Here is a 23,721-nt window from a genome sequence, read left to right as displayed (position 1 = left end):
GGCCAATTTAACCATAAGTAAAACTGGGAACAATAGTGGAAAACACAGAGTGATGTTTAGACTGCCTAACTCTGCCACCAAAAACACTACCTATAGTAAGAATAGGAATATATATATATATATTACAATACATATATATTCCCATTGCAGCAGGTTTGCTTCCAGAACACAGGTGTCATGAAAACCACCCCTAAAAGCCAAAATGGGAAAGAAAAAGACTCATATCAACATTGTCACCATTGGACACGTAGATTCGAGCAGGTCCACCACTACTGGCCATCCAATCTACACACGTGGTGGCATCAAGAAAGAACCACTGAAAAATTTGAGAAGGAGGCTGCTGAGATGGGAAAGAGTGTCTTCAACTATTCCTGGGTATTGGATAAACTGAATGCTGAGTGTGAATGTGATATTACTCACCATTGATACCTCTGTTTGGAAATTTGAGACCAGCAAGTGACTATCGCTGTTGCCTTAGGCCACAGAGACTTTATCAAAAACGTGATTACAGGGACATATCAGGTGGGCTGTGTTGTCCTGATTATTGCTGCTGGTGTTGGCAACTTTGAAGCTGGTATCTCCAAAACCGGACAGACCTGTGATCATGCCCTTCTGCCTTACACACAGGGTGTGAAAAAACTAATTGTTGGAGTTGACAAAATGGATTCCACTGAGCCATCCTACAGTCAGAAGAGATAGGAGGAAATAATTAAGGAAATCAGCATGTACATTAAGAAAACTGGCTACAACCCAGCCACAATAGTATTTGTGTCAGTTTCTGGTTGGAATGGGGAGAATGTGGAGTTCTAATGTCCAAGCATAGGAGAAGATGGGTGTCCAGCTCCTGGGAGGAGAAAGAGGGAGAGGAAGAAAGAGAGAGAGACAGACAGACAGACAGACAGAGGGTATGTTCCTTTCCTCTCCCTTTTTGTTCTGTCCAGGAACTCAGTGACTGGATGGTGCATGCCCACACTGGGTGAGGGCAAATCTCCCTTACTCAGTTACTGCTTCAAAAACCCGTCTCTTTCAGAAACATCCTCATGGATATACCCAGAAGTGATGCTTTACCAACTGTCATGGTGTCTCTTAATCCAGTCAAGTTGACACACAAAATGAATCACCACACTCTCTATAATGGGAGAATGACCTAATTTTATTTTTCATACTGAGAGAACCACCAAAATGGCAGCAGTTGCTTCCCAGAAACCAACTAAGTGAAGGTGTAGAGTTAAAATTAAGTCTATTTAAATAAATGCAATAGATAGATAGATAGATATAGATATAGATATAGATATAGATATAGATATAGATATAGATATTTCTGAGATGGAGTCTCACTCTGTTGCACAGGCTAGAGTGCAATGGTGTGATCTTGGCTCACTGCAACCTCCGTCTCCTCGGTTCAAGTAATGCTCCTGCCTCAGCCTCCCGAGTAGTTGGGATTACAGCACACACCATCATACCTGGCTACTTTTTGTATTTTTAGTAGATACAGGGTTTCACCATGTTGGCCAGGCTGGTCTTGAACTCCTGACCTCAAGTGATCCACCCGCCTCAGCCTCCCAAGTGCTGGGATTATAAGAGTGAGCCACCGCACCTAGCCCAAGAAATGCAATATTTATTATGCACTTGAGTTTGCAGTCTGAAAGTTGAGAATTTACTCCATTAAAACATATTCTCTATTCAGAGAGAATGAAAGAGATTGAAGTGTTTTTAATTTTCAGAACTGTTTCATGGAAGTGTTAATAAAGCCTCACTGTTTGAAAGCACTGGAAGAAAAGGTTATCATGAGATACAGTCTTCTGTATGTTAGATTGCAACATAGAGATCTATTTGATAAAGGGTGGACTTGAAAATGAGTCCTACTTCATCAGCAAAGAAGTCTCCAGAATGACTGTGCTCTTGCACTCACCCTCCTGGTGCCTCAGGACTACAGGTTTAGAGCTTCCAGTTCCACTATAGCACAGTGTAGACAGTATGGTTTCCTAATAAAAAGTTTTCAGCAAAATGTAGTACAAATGCAATGTTAATTGTATACATTGTGTAATACAAATACAAAATACAATGTTCCATTTTGTACTTATATAAGTTCAGAGCAATGTATTCATTTTCTCAAGATCACAAAGTAGGTTCGTGGTATTGTTAGGTGTTCTGTGAGTTTTGAGCTGGATTTTAAAGGATGAATGTGAGATTTAGATAAAGAGAAGGTGAAAAGGCATCTCAGAAGAAAGAATGGTAAGAGTAAAGGTGCAGAAGAAAGAAAACCATTTGCCAAGTATACTTAGGGCTCAATAAGCAAATCATTTGCCTGGATAAGTAGTGGGAGTGACGACTGGAATATAGGTCCAGAACAGATCACAGAGTGCTTTGAATGATGTCAAATTATGTTTGGATTTGTTTTGAAAGCTAATTTATGCATAACTTCTTTGAAGGAAAGCACCATAATCCAAATAGGAAGTTACTCTACCAGTGGATGTGGTGTTGGTTATAGGTGGAAGACTAAAACCAGGAGGCCTCTTAGGAGGGCAATGTATTTATCCAAGTGTATTTTGACTTGGATTACTATTATGGAGTCAACAATGACCCTGAGGTTCTGAGCTTACGTGGCTGAGTTTTCACTCTCTCATGTTAAGGCTGAAAGATATTTATATGTTTTCAAAATGAAACTTTGAGGTCCTGCTTCTTTTTGCTTATTTGGAAGCATCCATTCTATCTTGATTGCTAGAACATTCAGGCTTCCTTTATTCCAGCAGTGTCTGTGCCAGTGGTGGAGGCACCGATATCTTCATGGACGATTCTGTAGAATGCTTTTATGAGTTGTTTTTTTCTGCTTAGCCTCCAGGTCGGGTTCTTCAACCCTTCCAGAGATTCTATGAGCTGCCCAGTATTACCTAATACATTCCTTTTCTGCTCAATTTCCCCAGAGTTAGTTTCTGTTACTTGCAATTAAGAACTTTAACTGATTAGTTTTTCTTATTTGATGCCGTAACCCAGAGGTTAATTAGAATCACCCTCTTCCCAATAATTTACATAAGATTGATTCAAGGCCGGGCGCGGTGGCTCACGCCTGTAATCCCAGCACTCTGGGAGGCCGAGGCGGGTGGATCATGAGGTCAGGAGATCGAGACCATCCTGGCTAACAGGGTGAAACCCCGTCTCTACTAAAAATACAAAAAATTAGCCGGGCGCGGTGGCGGGCGCCTGTAGTCCCAGCTACTCGGGAGGCTGAGGCAGGAGAATGGCGTGAACCCGGGAAGCGGAGCTTGCAGTGAGCCGAGATTGCACCACTGCAGTCCGCAGTCCGGCCTGGGCGACAGAGCGAGACTCCGTCTCAAAAAAAAAAAAAAAAAAAAAAAAAAAAAAAAAGATTGATTCAAGCCACATTCCATGGATCGTGGAAAGTCTAATGTCTTCTTCAAGATTCCTGTACATTCTGCAGGGGGCTTAGGCTCTCATGGACACCTTTGATTCAGATCTTTGGCTTCCTCTAAATCAGGATTCCTCAATCTTGGCACTATTGACATTTTAGGCTGGAAAATTCTTCCTTGCGGATGGCTAGCCTGTGCACTGCAGGATTCTTGACAGCATCCCTGGCTTCTGCCCACTTGGTGCCAGTTGCTGTCCTTCTTCCCTGCCCCATCCCAGTCCCCGTCCCAGTCAAGACAATCAAAAGTGCCTTAGGAAATTACCAGGTATTCCTTGGGGGACAAAATCACTTCTGGTTGAAAATCACTATGTCTAAATTAATTCAGTTTAGGAAATGGCATCTGTTATCCTTCTTCTCTACCAAGTCAACCTATGAGTGGAACTCAGATACTTAAAAAAACTTCCACCTAAATTTAAAAACAAAACAAAAATGTCACAAAAGTTATCTATACTGGTAGCAAACTTTGTGGAAATTTTGGAGAAATAGAGATTTTTCAGGTATTGTAGTAATTAATTAGAAAAACTGCACCAGGGACTGCTAATCTAATAGAGATTTTCCTGATGGATATACAATCAGCATCAAATTTGTTAGATGCCCGTGTTTTTAAAAAGTCTTTCAGTTATTTTTGAAACTTGATCTCTGTTCCCTGGCCACGTTTCTCACTTCTCCTCCATTGCTCTTCCCTTATTTCTACTTGCTTCTGTATTCTCTGCTCTTTCCTACCTCCAAATTCCTGTGCAATTCAAATTCAAAGTGGTTTGATTATATCTTTTATTTCTCTTTGTCAACTCATCCCCTAGGGTCTCACCTTCTACTCCTAATGGGCTTTTCAAAGTATTTTCCTATACAGAAAAGCCTCCTCCTCCATAGTAATTCTAGAAACTTCTATGATGATAGTTAAAGTTTAATATGGCTGCAGTTCTCACTATAGCTCCTCTTATATAGCCACAAGGATAGTACTAACCCCTTTTACAGGAAGGAAACTTCCAATTATCTATTGCTGCATGACTAACAACCCAAAACTTAGTGGCTTAGAACAACAACCATTTTATTATATCTCTCTTCAAATGGTATATCCACATGGCTAGCTTGGGCTTCCTCACAGCAGACCATTCTCAGACTAGTTCACTTTTGACAAAGTGGACTCCTAGAGAAAGTATTCCAAGTGACAGGAAGTGGAAGCTGCCAGTGTCTTAAGATCTGAGCCTTAAATGTCACTGGTGCCATATTCTACTGGTCAGAGTAGTCACAGAGGCTTCCAGATTCAAGGGGATGTGTGGTCATCTTTATTTTACCATAGTCTGCCCACTGGCTACAAATTAATCACATTACTCCTGCATGCAAATTACCCTCTTGCTTCATACTCACCAACCACCCCTCTCCCCACACACACTCCTTTTCAACACACACGTTTTGTCCCATTACAGAATCAGACTCAGGCTTGAGATCTAGGTTTTTTGTTTTGTTTGTTTTTTGATGGAGTCTCACTCTGTCACCCAGGCTGGAATGCAGTGGTGTAATCTTGGCTCACTGCAACCTCCCTGCCCCAGGTTCAAGTGATTCTCCTGACTCAGCCTCGCAAGTAGCTAGGATTACAGGTGCATGCCACACCCACCTGATTTTTGTGTTTTTATTACAGACAGGGTTTCACCATGTTGGCCAGGCTGGCCTTGAACTCCTGACCTCAAGTGATCTGTCCACCTTGACCTCCCAAAGTGCTGGGATTACAGGAGTGAGCCACTGTGCCTGGCTGAGATCTAGGTTTTTGACGGACAGAGAACTACAAAAAGAGCTTAAGACAGCTTGGTGTTCCAAAATTTAAGGAAAAAGTGTTTCAAGAAGAGAGTGATCAGTAGGGTCAAAGATCAAGTACCAGGAACTGCAAAGAGGAGAGCTTGAGATGTGGCCAACAGAAAGCTTGTGTTCCCTACTTTCCTTCCTTCACTACGGGTGGTGATGCCGGAGGCAGACATCTTATCTGTTTCTTTTTTATATGTAATTTTCTTTTTCTGATTATATAAAACTTGTTTCTGAAATTTGGAAAATATGGAAAATTAGTTAAAAAGAAGAAATGATGCATAGATAATCATTAAAACTTTTTTAGAATGAATTTCTCTATTCTTTATATAAACATGTATGCATATATGCACATATATACATGTCTGTATGTAGATTAGTTCCTGTTTACTCTCCTCCCTCCCCTCATCATTCAACCACCCACAAGGCCTTTCTATGTGCATTCAGGGTAAGGTTATAGCAGGAATGCAAAGAGAAAGAAATAAAACAATTATTAGCACTTAACTTTTCTAAATCGATTTTTGAAGTTTCTGGAAGAGACCTTACCCAGAGAAAAAGGATTTTGAATTTTAAAGTCTGACTTTTGTGTACAAAGGCTAAATTTTATTTTATAAATAATCGATTTTGGAAGAATGAATGATATAAGAGCTGGGATTTGATAAAATTCCACAGCTGAGCTAGGAGAGATTTGGTAAGTGTGACTGGATTTGGGTGCTGCTGTAAATCTCAGAGATGATCTCACACCTTGTGGAATGCTAGAAGTCCTAGAGTGGTGGGGATGGGAACCTCGAGTGGAGAAAAACTATACTGTGATTCCTGGGGAAACCTGAGAAGGCAGGGAAGGAGGTTCACAGAGGAGCCCCTCATGCCAGCCTGTTGCAGCGGCAGTGAGAAGAAATGGGCAAGGCCACACTCCCAATTGCCTGTGGCCCAGGAGCCTTGGGAAGGTGCTCCAGAGAGTCATTTGTCACCAGATGGTGAAGGGCTGAGATAAGGCTGAGATAAAAGTCCTGGTGGGACCACAGATGTGTGTCTCAGATGCTGCTAGCATAGTAGATACAAATTATATATATATATATATATGTATATATATATATATGTGTATATATATATATGTATATATATATATATGGCTGTGGTATTCGTTAAAGTTCATCTGTGGTATTCCTTAAAGTTTTATATATTAATCTGTGGTATTTCTTAAAGTTTTGGTCACACTGTTTAGAGTTTTGCTAAACATTATATCATGAACATTTAAACCATGTCGGTGATCTCGGCTCACTGCAAGCTCCACCTCCCAGACTCAAACCATCCTCCCACCTCAGCCCTTACTCCCCTCCCCCCAACCCCTGCCCCCCACCCCGAGTAACTGGGACCACAGGTGTGCACACCATGCCCAGCTAATTTTTGTAATTTTTTTTTTTTTTGTAAAGAAGGTGTTTCACCATATTGCGCAGGTTGGTCTCGAACTCCTGAGCTCAAGTGATCTGCCCAGTTCAGCCTCCCAAAGTGCTAGAATTACAGGCGTGAGTCACACTGCACCTGGCCTATACACATTTGTAAGGCTTCCTATTCACATGTCAAACTGCCCTCCTGCCCTTTACATTCCCATCAGCTGGTTCCATCACGTGCATGTACTAACGTCTTCAGGGACCACTCAGCGGTGCATAGTTTCTGGGTATATGAACAAACTGGAGTACGATTCTAGTAGATCAGAGGCTCTGAGAATGTCTCCACTCTTGTCCAGACCTTGAAACATCAAGTGACTGAAGCTTGCAGGCTGTCCTTTGCCACTAAACGCAGATTGAATGTTAAGACACTAGGGGGCAGAGGCGTCCCACTAAACCGAGGATGTTCTGTTCGTTTTTTAAACCTAAACTGGTTCATACCATCCATCTAGATCCAAATTCGCACATTGCTATCATGGAGTATTCAATTATTTTAACAAATTAATAAACAAAGGCAAGACTGCTGTAAGTTTAAAATAGGTAGTTCTCAATTACTGTAACAAACATTCTATTCCCACTGCTTTTTTAAAACCTGAACTTTTTATATTACAATAGTTTTAGAGTTACAGAAAAATTATGAAGATAGGATAGAGAGTTCCCATATACCCCAAACAAAGTCAGTTTCCCCTATTTTTTTAGACAGGGTCTTATTGTGTCCCCCAGATTGGAGTGCAGTGGCATGATCTCGGCTCACTGCAACCTCTGCCTCTGGAGCTCAGGCAATCCTCCCACTTTAGCCTCCCGAGTAGCTGGGACTACAGGCATGTGTTGCCTGGCTATTATTATTATTTTGTATGTTTTGTAGAGGCGGGGTTTTGCCATGTTGCTGAGGCTGGTCTTGAACTCCTGGCCCAAGCCATCTGCCTGCTTGGGCGGCTTCCTGTTTTGTTAACATCTTACATTAGTATGGTGCATTTATTACAACAAGTAAACCAAGACTGATGTGTTAGTATTAACTAAAGTCTAAAGTCCATAACTCAGTTTTCTTTAGTTTTACCTAACGTCCTTTTTATTATTATTATTATTTTATTTCACAGGCCTAATGTCCTTTTCATGTACCAGGATTCCATTCAAGATACCACATTAGATTGATGCGTTATGTCTCCTTAGGCTCACCTAGACCATGACATTTCCTCAGATTCTCCTTGTTTGTGCCGACCTTGACAGCTTTGAGGGGTATTACGTGTTTTATAAAATGCCCTTCAATTGGGGTTTGTCTGATGTTTTTCTCATGGATAGACAGGAGTTGTAGGTTTTTGGGAGGAAGACTGTAAGAGGTAAAGTGCCATGCTTATCACACCATGTTGTCAGCATGACATATCAATTTTGAAATTAACCTTCATCACCTGACTGAGCAATATTTGGTAGGTTTCTCCACTGTAAAGTTACTTCCTCCTCACCCCTCATACTGTACACTGTGGAAGGAAGTCACTACCAGCAGCCAATGTTAAGGAGTGAATAGTTATGTAGCCCTTTCTGAGGAGCCCTGTGTGCATAAGTTATCTGGAATTCTGTACGGAAGATTTATCTATTCTCCCCATTTATTTATTCAATTGTTTATTTGTATCTCTCTTTGAACTCATGGATATTTCTTTTTTTTTTTTTGAGACAAGGTCTTGCTTTGTCACCCAGGCTGGAGTGCAGTAACGCAATCTCGGCTCACTGGCAACCTCCACCTCCCAGGTTCAAACAATTCTCCTGCCTCAGCCTCTTGAATAGGTGGGATCACAGGCCCACGCCACCATGCCCGGCTAATTTTTGTATTTTTAGTAGAGACGGGGTTTTGCCATGTTGGCCAGGCTGGTTTCGAACTCCTGACCTCAGTTGACCCACCCGCCTTGGCTTCCCAAAGTGCTGGGATTACAGGCATGAGCTACCACACCTGGCCAGATACTTATTTTCTACTTTGCTTTTACAACCATGTCTGGCCAAATTTTACACCCCTTTAATAATAATAATAGCTACCAATTATTGGGAATTTATATATACACTGTGCTAAGCATTGTATATATGTCATCTCATTTAATATTAGCAACCATCCTCATGGGAGATATTATTATCCTTTGGTCCCATATGATGAGCCTGAAGCTTGTAGAGATAAATAATTTCCCCTGACCACACAACTGGTACACAGGATGCAAGCTCTGGTCTGTGAGAATTCAGAGCCTGTGGGTTTCACCGCTATGACACTGCCTCCCTGCTTTACTCAAGAATAGGATATGCTAAGAGGCTGAGTTTAATTGTATGAGGAAAAAATAAAGATAAAGACTGTGGTGGTATTAGGCCTCTATTCCAGTCCTTTATCCTTCCCTTCTGTTCACTGTCACCCTGATAGTTTCCCCTTCTGATTTGTCAATGATAAAATAAAAAATTCAATAAAAATGCATTGAGATTTTGCTAGTATATAATTTATAATTAGCATGTCATACATGGTTCTAATGATAAATAATTAAGAAATAAAATACTTTTCCTGACAAGAAATAACCTATAAATCATGTTAAGACATAGGAAAACAACAATTTAGGCATATATTATGTGGCTTACTAAGCAAACATATTTTTTTGAGACAGAGTCTCAATCTATTGCCCAGGCTTGAGTGCAGTGGTGCAATTACACAATCACAGCTCACTGCAGCCTCGACCTCCTGGGCTCAAGCAATCCTCCCAGCTCAGTCTCCTGAGTAGCCGGAATTACAGGTGTGTGCCACCACGCCTGGCTAATTTTTAATTTTTTTGTTTTGTTTTGTTTTAGATAGAAGGTCTTGCTTTGTTGCCCAGGCTTTTCTCAGACTCCTGGGCTCAAGTGATCCTCCTGCCTCAGCCTCCCAAAGTGCTGGGATTACAGGCATGAGCCACCGCACCCTGCTGGCAAAGCATATTTGTATGCGTAATTTTTAAAAAATAAACTCTCCATTTTTGAATAGTTTTAGGTTTATTGAAAGATTGTGATGATAGCATAGAGAGTTCTCATATACCCCGCACCCGATTTCCCTCATTGTTAATATCTTACATTAATATGGTTTATTTATCACAATTAAGTAACCAGTACTGGCTGGGTGAAGTGGTTCATACCTGTAATCCCAGCACTTTGGGAGCCTGCGGTGGGAGGATTGCTTGAGCTCAGGAGTTCAAGACCAGCTTGGAAACGTAGCAAGACCCTGTCAGCACACACACAAAATTTTTTTTTTAATTAGCTGAGCGTGGTGGCGTGCATCTGTCGTTCCAGTTACTTGGGAGGCTGAGATGGGAGGACTGCTTGAGCCCGGGAGGTTGAGGATGCAGTGAGCTATTGTTGCCTGGGTGACAGAGCGAGACCCTCTCTCAAAACAAAAAACAAAAAACAAAAACAAAAACAACAACAAAAAAACCAAACCAAAACAAAAACCCAATACTGCTATGTTGCTATTAACTAGAGTTGATAATTTATTCAAAATTCCTTAGTTTTTATCTGATGCTTTTTATCCTGTCCAGGATCTCACCCAGGATACTAAGTTGCATTTAGTTGTCATTTCTCCTTAGGCTCATCTTGGCTGTGACAGTTTCTCAAACTTCTTTTGTTTTTGATGACCTTGTCAATTTTAAGGACTACTAGACTGGTATTTTGTACCACGTCCCTTTATTGGGATTTGTCGAACATTTTTCTCACTATTAGACTAGAATTCTGGGCTTTTGGGAAGAAGTGCACAGAGGCAAAATGCCATTCCTATCACATTATATTAAGGATAACACACTCTCAGCATGACTTGCCACTGTGGATGTTGACCTTGATCACCTGGCTGGCTGACATAGTGTCAGTCAAATCTCTCCACTGTAAAGCTTCTCTTTTCCTTCTTTTCTATACTATACTCTTTAGAAGGAAATCACTATGAATAGCCCACAGTTAGCAAGCGTGTAGTATCTACATAAATTGTTTGAATTCTTCTGCATGAGAGATTTATCTCTTCTCGCCCATTTGTTTATTTATTCTATAACTTATTTGTATCAGTGTGGATTCACAAATATTTATTTTATACTTTGGGTTATAAAACAATACTGATATTATTTTGTTGCTCAAATGGTTCCAACTTTGGCCATTGGGAGCTCCTTCAGTTTCTCTTGTACCCATTTGACCCATCCTCATTAATTTTTTTAAGCACTTTTTTATGTTCTGGCACTACAAGAGGCTCATCTTGTATATTTGTGTCCCCAGTCCTAGATTCAGCCATTTTTCCAAGGAGCTTTTGTTCCTTTTATTGGAGAATGGCATTAGAAACAAAGATCTGGGTGCTAGGTTTATGTATACTCATGTTATCATTTATGAACAATTTTTATTCTTTCAACAGTCCTTAAAGTTATTAGTCCTATTTTGTAGGTGAACAACCTTCACAGCCTCGCACATGCTCTCCTAGCCCATTCTAGAGCCTGGCTTTAAGTCCAGGTTATGGGAGGCTACAAATCCATGCTCCTTTCAATGTGCCTAGAAATAATGGCTAAAGTGGAAGAGAAGTGTCTGTTTTTTACTGCAATTAGATGAAAGCTTTTGCATTTAGTTCCATTTTTTTCCCCTAGAGAAAGTGGCAGCTTTTTTCCTGGAATCAACTGTTTGCCAAAGTTCTTTGGTAGTTAAAAGAAAGTGGTGGTGCTTGGCTGGGCACGGTGGCTCATGCCTGTAATCCCAGCACTTTGGGAGTCTGAGGCAGGCAGATCACCTGAGGTCAGGAGTTTGAGACCAGCCTGGCCAACATGGTGAAAACCCGTCTCTACTAAAAATACAAAAAATTAGCCGGGTGTGGTGGCATGTGCCTGTAATCCCAGCTACTCAGGAGGCTGAGGCAGGAGAATCGCTTGAACCCGGGAGACGGAGGTTGCAGTGAGCCGAGACTGCGCCATTGCACTCCAGTCTGGGCAATAAGAGTGAAACTCCGTCTAAAAAAAAAAGAAAAGAAAAGAAAAGAAAGAAAGTGGTGGTGCTTCAGGTGGCTGTGTTTTACCAAAGGCACAACCATGCAGGTCTATTCTGGCTCACGGGTCAGAAGAAGGGGAGTCTGTTTGGAGGCACCTCCAGGCAGGCTTTAAACAGAACCAGGGACAATTAGATTTGGGAGAGACAGGGGCTGGTGGGGAGGAAAGAAACCAAGGATATCACTGAGATAAAAAATCCTGGAAGAAGAAAACATCCTGGTGGAGAAGAGAAAACCTAACACATGGTAGCTAAACTTCCATTTCTAAGGACAGTGCAGGGAGTTTGGTGGGTCCTTAATGAGGATTCATTTCTTGGCACCAAGTGACCATAGGTTGCTTTATTTGCATATTTTCTGTAAATTGGAGGAAATTTAAACTCTCTTACATTTCTGGGTCCTCTTCTTTGGAAATAATATTAATTCGTATCCATGGACTGCATCGGAGAGATTGTGATGCTCTTGAGGATGAGCAGGACACTTGGGCTCTAGCAGAAATTAAGCAGAACTTAACTACATGATGCTATAGCAAAATATATTTTTAATACATTTACTTTTTCTGATTATAACATTAAAGCATGTTTATTGTGGAAAACTGAATGACAGAGACAGGGGAATAAAGTAAAGAATTCTCCCTCAGAGATATTCACTGTCAGGGTTTTGTCGTATCTCTGTCTCTTTGTTTTCTTTTTTGGTTTATGCATCCATGGATAATATCAGGCTCATTTTTTATATAAAAATATGCATATCTTGTTTTTCATTTAATATTTAATTATCATTTTCAAATATTAAACATTCCTGAATATTCTGATATTTAATGGTTGCATAATATTCTATTATATGGACATAATTCAATTTGAACAATGCTGTGATAAATTTTTGTACCCAATTTGAATAAATCTGAGATGATTCACAAGAGAATTCTAAAAGTGGGATAAAGTGGTAATAACGAAAGTATCTGTTTTATAGAGTTGAAGATAGGAAAATAAGATGAGTTAACAACAGTGTTTGGTTCATGGCAAACATTCATGTTAGGTATGATTATTATACATATAATCTCTTTGATAAATATTAACAGATAATCTTCCAGAAAACTTGTTTTCATTTTTAACATATGTGTGCCATCAAATATTTTAGTAGTAACTGAAAATATTGTTAACCACAACATTAGGCTTTGTGGGTGACATTTGGGGTCAGAGACAGGGCCTTGACCAAAAGGACTGAAGATGTTAGCAAGAGACCTTCCAAAAAGTAAGTGAAAGGGGTGAGGAATGTAGTGGAAAGGAATGGTGAGGCAACTGTTACCACTGGATCTAATGGAAGTGTGACCAGGGCTCATGCTCCAATAGTGTGTGTATGAGTTTGTGTTTGCGTATATGTGTGATGTTTTAGGGATAGAGGGAAAGGGGTGCCAGGCTCTTGTGATGCCTAACATGTTCCAGGGGTTGAGAGGCCCCAGCAAAGAAGGTTCCGGGCTGCATACCCAGGAGCAGTCACAGATTCTTGAGGACAGAATATAGGGCCAATAGGTCACTGGTACACTGAGTAAGGAGGCAGGCCAGCTGCTGCTTGGACATATGAAATGTTCAGATCTGGGGAAGGTATAAGCTGGAGACCATCTGTTCTATCATAGGGGCTAAAAAGATCAAAGCAAAGAAAAACCTGGAGATCCAAATTTAAGGATAATTACTGAGGTATTAAATTCAATACGGGAAAGTGGAATTTAGGGAGGTAGCAAAAAGAGTAGGTTAGGAGAACAAGGGCAGGTCCATTACCCCAGGAGAACCATTGTCTAAAATGTATCTGAATTATCTAGGGAGAAAGAAAGCCCTTTGGCCTTCTCCTGGCAGTAGCCGCACAGGTTCGTGAGTTGAGGACTTGGGCACTGCATTCTATATCTATCAATTTTACCTACTACCTCTCATGATGCTCATGATAGTCTCATGGCCTGGCATTAATGGAGCACTTAACTCTGTGCTGAGCAGAAACAAGCAATATCACAATAATAAACAATATCACAAGAGTAGGACAATAATATCAGTTCCATTAAACAGATTAGTCAACTGAGGCTCAGAGCAGTGGAATGGTGCGTTCAACATCACATAGTGAGATAGCAAGAAACAGGAAATGAATATGTTTCTCACGACCTGTTTTTAAATACTTAACCACTTAATAGTGTTTGGTCTGCAAGCCCCCTGGCTGTCAGATTCCAGCAGATTGCTGGCTGGGGAAGGAGCTCTCTGCAGGGGAACTGAGAGCAGGGACATGAGGAAAGCAGGGACATCTCATGGCTAGACTGGGACCACTGGGTGGAAATAGGACCTGTCAATCTCAAAATCTCCTTCTAATGCCAAGATTACCTGGCTCTCATTTTCTCTTAATTGAGTAGCAGAGGTTGCCCCAAGTTAGACAGTGAGGTTGCCAGAGGTTGATTGTGAATCTCTCTCCTTCCAGTACTCTTTGATGTCCTTTCAAAGGGTCCAGAAATTCATGACCCCAATTCTCTGCTCCTATGCCCAGTAGCCTTATATTAAACTACTCCTTCCAATTTTGAGAGCACCAAAGAAAAAGTACCCCAAAATAACAGTAATTGTTTGCCTAACAGTAAATGATTGCCACACATTGATTCCCTGCTAAGCACTTTATATGCATTATTTCACCTAACTTCATATTGACTCCAGGAGATCTATTAAAGGTTAAATAATTTGTTCTAGATCAGCAGTCCTCAACCCATTTGGTACAAGGAACCAGTTTCATGGAAGACAAATTTTCCATGGACTGTTGGAGTCGGGGGCGGTGGTTTCAGGATGATTCAAACTCATTAACATTTATTGTGCACGGTATTTCTATTATTATTACATTGTAATATATAATGAAATAATTCTACAACTCAACATAATGTAGAATCAGTGGGAGCCCTGAGCTTGTTTACCTGCAACTAGACAGTGCCATCTGGGAGTGACGGGAAACAGTGACAGTTCATCAGGCATTGGAGTCTCATAAGGAACATGCAACCTAGATCCTTCTCATGTGCAGTTCACAGTAGGGTTTGTGCTCCTATGAGAATCTAATGTTGCCGCTGCTCTGACAGGTGGTGGAGCTCAGGGGGTAATGTGAGTGATGGGGAGTGGCTGTAAATACAGATGAAACTTTGCTGGCTCACCTGCTGCTCACCTCCTGCAATACCTGTCCAAGGCCTAGGGGTCGGGGATCCCTGTTCTAGATCACACTGATAGTAAGTGGCTAAGCAATAATTAGAGCCCAAACTATCTGACATTATAGCTCATACTCTTTTCTACTTTATTGAAGTTGAAATAAAATCAACTGCACATATCCAAAGTATAAAATATGTCATGGTGTATCTGTGAAACCATCACCACAGTCAAGATGACTGCAGCCTTTACTCTTAACTACTAGGCACCAGTTTCCACCTGTTAATCCTAGTTCTTACCCTGGAATCACCAGATTAGTGTCAATCCCACCTTACATGATAAACAGTCAGATACTTGATGATGACCAACCTGTACTTCCTAAATCTCCTGTTCCTTGAGATAAACATCTTCATAAGTTCCTGCAAATGCATTTCATAGGACACAGTTGAATTTCTCTTAACAGCTTGCTTACCCTCATTTAGGGATTTTGCCCAGATCATGAATATTTGCATGGTTTTCCAGTCTGCCAAATGCCATGCAGCTTTTGCCACAAGGCATATAGGCTGGAAGCAGGCCTGTAGATGGCAGCCACAAGTGCTTCTAGCAAGGCCCAGCTAGGCAGGTAGACCAGGGTGGCAAGGCCTCTGGGTTAGCCAGGCCTTTTCTGAATGCTCTTGTTCTGATAGGCTGATACTCTTCGAGCAATCCTTCAGTAAACCAGGCATAATCTTTCTTATTCTAAAAATAAGAAAGATGAATATAATGCTGTTTAATTGTGTTTTTCTCCATTTTATATTTTTTTAGGGAAGAAAACATTTCTCAAGTACTGTTCAACTTCTAATACTAATTTAGAAGTGTTAGAAGGTAACTTTTCTGGCTCTCATTTTCTCTCTTTTGAACAGCAGGGGTTGCCCCAAGTTAGACAGTGAGGTTGCCAGAGGTTGGTTGTAAATCTCTCTCCTTCCAGTGCTCTTTGATATTAGCACGTCATACATTGTTCAGATGATAAATAATTAAGAAATAAAATATTTTTCCTAACAAGAAATAGTCTATAAATAATCTTAAAGAAATAAAATAAGAAAACAACATTTTAGGTATATATTCGGTGGTTTACAAAGCAAACTTTTTTTTTGAGACACTCTCAGTCTATTGCCCAGGCTGGAGTGCAGTGGCGCAATTACACAATCACAGCTGACTGCAGCCTTGACCTTGCAAGCTCAAGTAATCCTCCCAGCTCAGCCTTCTGAGTAGCCAGGATTACAGGCATGTGCCACCTCACCTGGCTAAAGTGGATGAAATCAGTATGTGTTGATCATTTACTGTTAAGCAGTGATTGATATTTGTGGGTACTTTGGTTTCTGTGGACTTCTTAACATTGGAATGAGTAGTTAGTAAAAGGATACTAGGCCTAGGAGTGGAGATTTGGGTCCCTGAGTTTCTGGCTTTCATTTTCTCTCATTTTGGCAGGTAGATTAGGCTGGTGAGATCTGTGGGTTAGCCAGGCCTTCTCTGCATTCCCTTGTCCTGATGGGCTGACACTCTTCAAGCAATCCTTCAGTAAACCAGGTATAATCTTTCCTGTTCTTAAACAAGAAAGATTAATATAAAGCTGTTCAATTGTGTTTTTCCCCATTTCATATTTTTTTGGGAAGAAAAAAATTCTCAAGTACCGTTCAACTTCTAACACTATTTTTTCCCTAAAAAATGTCTTATAATTTGTCTGACACGAGACTGGGCATGTATACAATCTTATTTGTTCTTCCAACAATACCGTATCATGGAGTAACGGGATTATATCTCATTTCAAAGATGAAAACATTGAAGCTTAGGATAATTTAGCAACTTGCCAAATTTTTCATGGCTGTCACATGATAGAGCCATAATACAACCACTATGATTTTTTAATTTTTATTGTTATTTTTATTTGAGATGGAGTCTCACTCTGTCACCAGGCTGGAGTTCAGTGGCACCATCTCAGCTCACTGCAACCTCTGCCTTCTGGGTTCAAGTGATCCTCCTGCCTCAGCCTCCCGAGTAGCTGGGAGTACAGGTGTCTGCCACCACACCCGGCTAATTTTTTGTATTTTTAGTAGAGATGGGGTTTCATCGTGTTAGCCAGGATAGTCTTGAACTCCTGACCTCATCATCTGCACACCTCGACCTCCCAAAGTGCTGGGATTACAGGCTTGAGCCACTGCACCCAGCTGACCAGTATGATTCTATATTTGAAATTGGTTTCACTGTATCTAGGGCCTGGGAGGCAAATGGCAAGGAGAACAGGGAACAGTGGCTAAAATCCCTAGTCTATGGACTCTTTTGTTTAAATATCCACCTATATATTACATCGCACACACAGATATTTCCCATTTTTACAAAAATGCCTGATGAATGCATTTAATAATATAGTGCATTTAATCATATAATAATAGCATTCTATAACAACTTGCAGTTAATGTATCGTGGACATCTTGCTATGACAATAGATCTACTTTATTCTTTTATTTTCCTTTTTATTTTTAAAGTAGTATAAGTACAACATAACCCACACTCATCAAAATGTAGTTTTTTTTTGTTTGTTTGTTTCCACCCCAGGGATTCAGGTTTGCTAGGTCTGGGTTTGGTAGCTCTCCGGGACCAGAGTATGTGGGGTCCAGGAGAGCTTCCAGGGTGACTGACACACACCACTGGTGAGGAACTACTGCTATTCTCTGCCATGTACTCTGGGGTCAATGAGATATGAACAAACAGAGCAACCAACAAAGCTTGCAGCTAGCCAACAGCAAAGCTCCCTGGTGCCAGAGAAAGGCTGGATGAAAGGAGGAGAGGATTGGACTCCATTTCCCGCGGAGGGAGAAGTACAGTGATGATCCCATGGTAGACATAGGTAGTCCGGTTGCGTGTTTCATAGGGGTGTGTAAAAAAGAGGCATGTGAAAAGACAGTGACAGCCCCCAAAGACCTCCATTGGGACAGAGATTAGATTGGAAGCTGGGGGGCTTATTTTAAAGTTACATTTGCATGGTAAGCACAGTTTTATTAAGATTGCTTATTTGAAGTGCTTTGGCAGGGTTGATGGACTGTGGGAGAGCTGAGAAACCTCAGAGATCCCCTCTGATGCCACACTAACTGGGAGAGGGTCTGAGTACTAGGAGGTGCATTAGTTCTATCTTATTACTTTCCTTTTTCCATTAGTAAATAACATTTCCCATTACCAGTTTGCTTAGGACACTGAACGACATGTACAGTACACAAATAAGAGCTCTGAATTTCTTTTGTCATTAATTTCAGTTTCACCCCTCTCTCAAAATATCATTGATTGATCCACTTGAGAGTCTCCTCCCTTTTGTGGAGCATCTTACTTGCTGATGAAAGAGGTAACCAGCATAAATAATCCTAAGTGGACTTTTGGAAGAATGGCAAGCAGAGAGGCCCAGTGGAGCCCCAGCCTTGCCGCTTTCTTCATCTGCACCAGGAACCTGTTCTTGATTTTCCCCAGGGGCCTCAGCCCAGTTCCTGGGTCATCCCAGGCCCACAGCAAGGGCACTGAATCCAGCCCAGCGTTGCTCTCTGCAGCTCAGCACCCAGCCACACTCTTGGTTAGTCTGCCCAGAGGCAGTGCCCTGATTCTGTTAATTGGGCTCTTGCCTCATTCCCAAGCCTGAGGTCCCCTGTGGGTACTACTGTTCCTAAGTTCCTGCCTGGCAGCCTGTCTTGAGCCCCAGATTTTTCCTAGGAGTGAAGAAGCCTTTCCCATGCCAGGCTCCCACTCGGAATTGGAACGCTGCCTCAGGCCCGAGGTTTCTGATTGGAGCTTAGCCACTAGAGGACAGACTCCATGGAGCCAGCTTCCTGTCTGGATTTCCAAGTATCACCTGCCCCATGGCTGGACTCTAACTGCTTGTTGGGAACATTTCTGCTTCTGTCTTATGGCCTTTCTCTCTTTCCCCCTTGGCCAACTGCTCCCCTGAGCTGTAAGCAGAAATTGCTGTGAGCTTCAATTGCCTGGTAGATTAAATTTCCTTTGCAAGCACCTGCAGTGTCATCAGCTCCCCAAGCACAGATTTTCACCCCAGTGGGTGGGCCCAATGCTATGTCCTAAGCCCTCTGGATCATGCCTAAGTAATGGGATGTGCTGTACAATTCAGTGATATGGCCATGGCTTTACACAATTGGTGGGTTCTGGAAAAGTTCTATTGAAATCTATGCTTGGCAAATGAAGTCCTCGTAAATATTCTAGAGATACTGTTTCAAAGTATCCTATTCTAATCCCTTTACAAAAAGTGAGTAGCAGCCGGGCATGGTGGCTGACACCTGTCATCCCAGCACTTTGGGAGACAGAGGTGGGTGGATGGCTTTTGCTCAGGGTTCAAGACCAGCCTGGGCAACATGTTTTTTGTCTTTACAAAAAACAAGAACAAAAATTAGTTGGGCATGGTGGCTCTTGCCTGTAGTCCCAACTGCTTGAGAGGCTGAGGTGGCAGGATCCCTTGGGCCTATGAGATTGAGGGTGCAGTGAACCATGATTGCACCTCTGCACTCCAGTCTGGGTGACAGAGCGAGACCCTGTCTCAAAAAAAAAAAAGTGAGTAGCAATATGATGTTGTGTGAAGTATATCATATATAAGACTTGAGAGTTTTAGCTTTCGCAGATTGTGATCTTGGACAAATCGTTACACAGTCATCCAGTAACTTTTTTCTCACCGAAGAAACAATGAAAGTAACTTAGTAATTTCTAAGGCCCAGTCTAATAGTCTCTGATTGTTAATAATAGCACCATAACTTGTATTGTTTTGTATATTCAAATTTTTAGGTTAAAAGTTCTCAAAATTAAGTACACTGACATGAAGCTTCTGCCTGGGGACCATCTCTTTTGGATTTTGTTTTTATAGGTTGTCCTTAATGACCTGGAATTGTTATAACAGCTGTCAACTGAGGTAAGCTTCACAGAAGGGGAGCTGCCTTACCTCCAGAGAGCAGCTTTTAATTTCCTATTTTTGGAAATAACAGAAAGCAAAGAGGACTCTTCTGAAAGGGAAACAACAGGCCACCCCAAGGCACTGGGAGAACAGACCTGGTGCTGAACGGGGATATTTGAGAGCAAGTCCTCTGAGAAGCAGAGACAGCATCAGCCTGCTCTTTTCTTCTGTAATTAATGGGGAGTCCCTGGATCTTTGTATTAGACCCTTTAATCTAAGGGTTGCTAAATGTTTTACAAACATTAATTAATTCAATTAGACTTTGCACCACCACCTTGAGGCAGGTAATTCCTCTTTGGGATATGGCATCTTTGCTTGCTACCACAGACTATTTTAGAGCAGATTAGGATAATTAATACTAAAGGTAAAGCCTTGAGTTTAGATAAAGTTCTATAACTAAAGGTCTCAAGTACTTTACAAATAGCAGATTTGTGTAATGAGGGCTGAGGAGGAAGACTGAGTCAGCTTATTGCCAGTGATGACAAGGCAGAGATATTGCACTTGTTTCAGGTTCCTCTCCATGGTAAAGACACATGACCTTGAACAGCTCTTTGTGACCTCTTTATGACTCAGTTCCTACAGCTTTCAAATGGGAGCAATGATACTACTCACCTCCCTACTTCACAGAGATGTTGCAAAAAACAATATTTGTAATATGCTGTGAGTTCTCAGATGAAAGATGGAAATTAACATATAATGAAACATTATTACCATTTATCATCACAAAACCTAAATGGGCCAGACAAGTGAAGCATCAGCATCCCCACGGCCCTGGCAGAGAAACCGGTCCTGCCATTATTTCCATTGGACATCTATTCTAGACAATCACAGAGGTTGAGAACTGCTCAGAACAACAGGCATGCTCCTAAGATAATCAAAAGCAAACCGAGATGCCAGATCAGCAGAGGTAGCTAAGTATTTGTCCTTTTTATTTTCCGTTCCCATTCTTATTTGGGAGAGAGTATTTGAGAAAAAATGAGTTCAGGGAGAGAATCAGAGAATGAACGAAGGTACTTTTCCTTTTGGACATTCCTCTCAATTCTGAGATATCAATATATGTGTATAATTTGTAGCCCCCAGAATGGGCTGTGTGCGAGCCCTCATCTGTGCTTTTGCTCTCTGTCTCCTTTGTTAATAATGCTTTCCTTTCCCACCTGTATTTATCTAGACAAGCATAAAACTCCTATCCTTGTGAGGGTTTCCTGGCCTAACTCCCTACTTGAAGTTCCTCTGTCACTCTTGTGTAATTAGCATATTATGTGGAATTTATATTTTGGTGTTGGTCTTGTTTCTTAATGGACTTAACTTTTCTGGGGCATAATTTATTAAATCTCTATTCTTCATCTATTACAGATCTGGGCATACTGAAGTTAATCAAACTAGTGCTAAGTGAATGAGTGAATGGAATCCTTCAGGAAAATGTCAAGATTAGAATTCAGACCACACCAAATCCTCATCTGCCATTCTTACTACGCCACATCACAACCCGTGAGGCACGTAGAGTATAGAATAGAAATATTGAACAGGCACAATTAAGGAAAGGGAGGGTGAATTCAAGAATAACTTTTCAAACAATGTTCCTAAGAGAAATAGAAGACTTAACTTAGAAGGTTCAAGAAAACTGTCTACATAAATACAGTATTGCATAGAAGGACTGAGTCGCTTTGGACCTGATTCCTATAATATGAGAGCACAGGCTGATCAGGAACAGTAGGGATATTTATGGAGTTCAGTTTGCCTTCCATGTTATTGTCACTCTGTGCACTAAGCTCAGACTCAGACCTGGCATTCAGGACCTCCATGCATGGCGTTGGTCCATATTTCCCTGCCACATGTCACTCCCCTCTTCTTCCTTCATGCAGCCCATGCTGCAGTGAGGCTGATGGGCTTGCTCTGAACATGACCATGTGTTTCTTCCTCTGATGATTCCCTTGCTTCAAATGCTCTTTCCTGCGGCCTTACTCTTTGTCCGAGCCTCAGCATCTCCACCTGTTGAAGCATTTTTGGCTCTTTCCAAGGCCTTTCTCAAAATGCTTCCTTCACAAAGAGGCTTTTCTGGTCATATAAATGCAAACCTCTTTGCAGAGCACTTTGGATGTGCCAAATAAATGTGTAGAAGAGGTATTAGTCCAGTAACTAGGATCACGGATTGGGAGAGCTGCATTGCCTAGGTCCGAATACTCATTCTGTCACTTACTAATGGTTTGAATGTAGGCAAATTACTTAATGTCTGCACCTGTGTTTCCTTGTCTGTCAAATAAGAATGACCAGAATAGTATCAACCACAGAGGCTTTTGTCAGGATTGTGTGCAACAGTGAGTGTAAACTGTTTAGAATTGTGCCTCATATGTGGAAGTGTTCTGTAAATGTTCTCTTTGCTTTCCCACACAACCTAGCCCTGTTTCTGGTTATGGTTATGTTTGTAGACCAAAATCACTAAATGAGGGTGAGTGCTGTCCATAAGCAGTGTTGCCATCGATAAAATCTAGATGTTTTACCAATAGAACTCCCAAGGAACCTGAGGAAACTCTCTCACTACTGGAGTCCTCAGCTCTATTGAACCAGGTTTGTGGAAAATAATTTTCCATGGACATCTGATTTTTATAAAAGCTTTTAATGTTCTTAAGGACTTACATATTTTCCTGTTCAAGTTTAGCTTAAATATTGTAGCAGCATGACCTGATTTATTTGATGGGGTAAGTTTGTGTACAGTTTCTCCTCTAGCTGTTAATCAGTTACACACTCATCTCAATCCCACAACGGTGCAAGAGTTGCCAAGTGCATTCAGGAACCCAGCCAAAAGGAAACTGCAAATATTGCCAGTGATAAACAGGAGAATGAATTACTTCTTTCTCACCTGCCCAGGAGCACTGATATAGTTTCACCACGTCACATACTAACACTCCTCAACCTCCATCAGTTGAGATGAAATTTGGAATATGCTTGTTTTATATTTTTTTCTGTACTAAATATATAATTACTGCCTAGTAAGGCTGTTAAATGTTCAGTTAGGTTTTTTTGAGGTATAATTTTTTATTGAGGTATGATTTTTAAATTTGTTATATCTCTTCATTGAGATATAATTCACATTTCATAAAATTCACCCTTTTAAAGTATAGAGTTCAGTGAGGTTTAGTATGTTCACAAATTTTTGAAGCCATCAGTAGTTCTAGAACATTTTTATTACCCCCCCCATAAACCCTTTACTCCTTATATTTTGACCTTGTGATAAAATGTTAATTTTATTTTCATTTATTTGGTTAAATTGTGCTAGCAAATTTTTGAAACCAAGAGAACTACATATATATATACACACACACACACACATACACACACACGTACATATATATTTTGTAATTACTATTACAATGGGTTTACTTAGCTTACTTTTTATGTTTATCCTATACTTCACTATTTGCTCAAGGTTTTACACATACAACATATACACACACACACATGCACACATTGATCTTGGTCACATTAGGGTTATTTGGGTCAGGTTGGAGATATCATTGCCAATGTAGCTTGAGGGACAGACAGTGGACATGGTGAAGGTAAAAATAACTATCTTTTGTGGAACACCTATTATTTCCCAGGCACTCTTTCTTAAAAGTCTGTTTTAGGACGTAGGTTCTATTATCATCATCTTTATGTTACATGTGAGGAAATAGAGGAGAATGGAGTTTGTATAACTTGTTATATCCCAAGGTAGCACAACGACCACCTAGTACAGTCCAAATTTGAACTCAGGCCTTCCAAATTTAGTGTATATGCCCTTAGCCACTATGTCCTAACACCTACTGTTCAAATGCACATTTAGTTTAATAATCCTAACAGCACTTGATCAGTGCTGTACAATGTACTTTCACAATGATCTCATTCCATTCTCTCAAAAGTCCTGTCGGGCGGTACCAGATGAGAAGAGC

General features: G+C 40.9%; 1 protein-coding gene and 1 pseudogene across 3 annotated transcripts in view; both read left to right on the top strand.

Annotated features, from left to right (window-relative positions):
- Window positions 1-23,721, top strand: part of ATP13A4 (ATPase 13A4) — a 194,153-nt gene that overhangs the window by 13,504 nt on the left and 156,928 nt on the right. The gene's annotated exons all lie outside the window — the stretch shown is intronic.
- On the top strand, window positions 147-804 carry EEF1A1P23 (eukaryotic translation elongation factor 1 alpha 1 pseudogene 23; annotated as a pseudogene).

The sequence above is a fragment of the Homo sapiens genome, chromosome 3 (genome assembly GCF_000001405.40).
Source record: "Homo sapiens chromosome 3, GRCh38.p14 Primary Assembly".
Taxonomy (NCBI): Eukaryota; Metazoa; Chordata; class Mammalia; order Primates; family Hominidae; genus Homo; species Homo sapiens.
The sequence above is the reverse complement of the archived record's forward strand: the minus strand, read 5'-3'. Positions and strand labels throughout refer to the sequence as shown.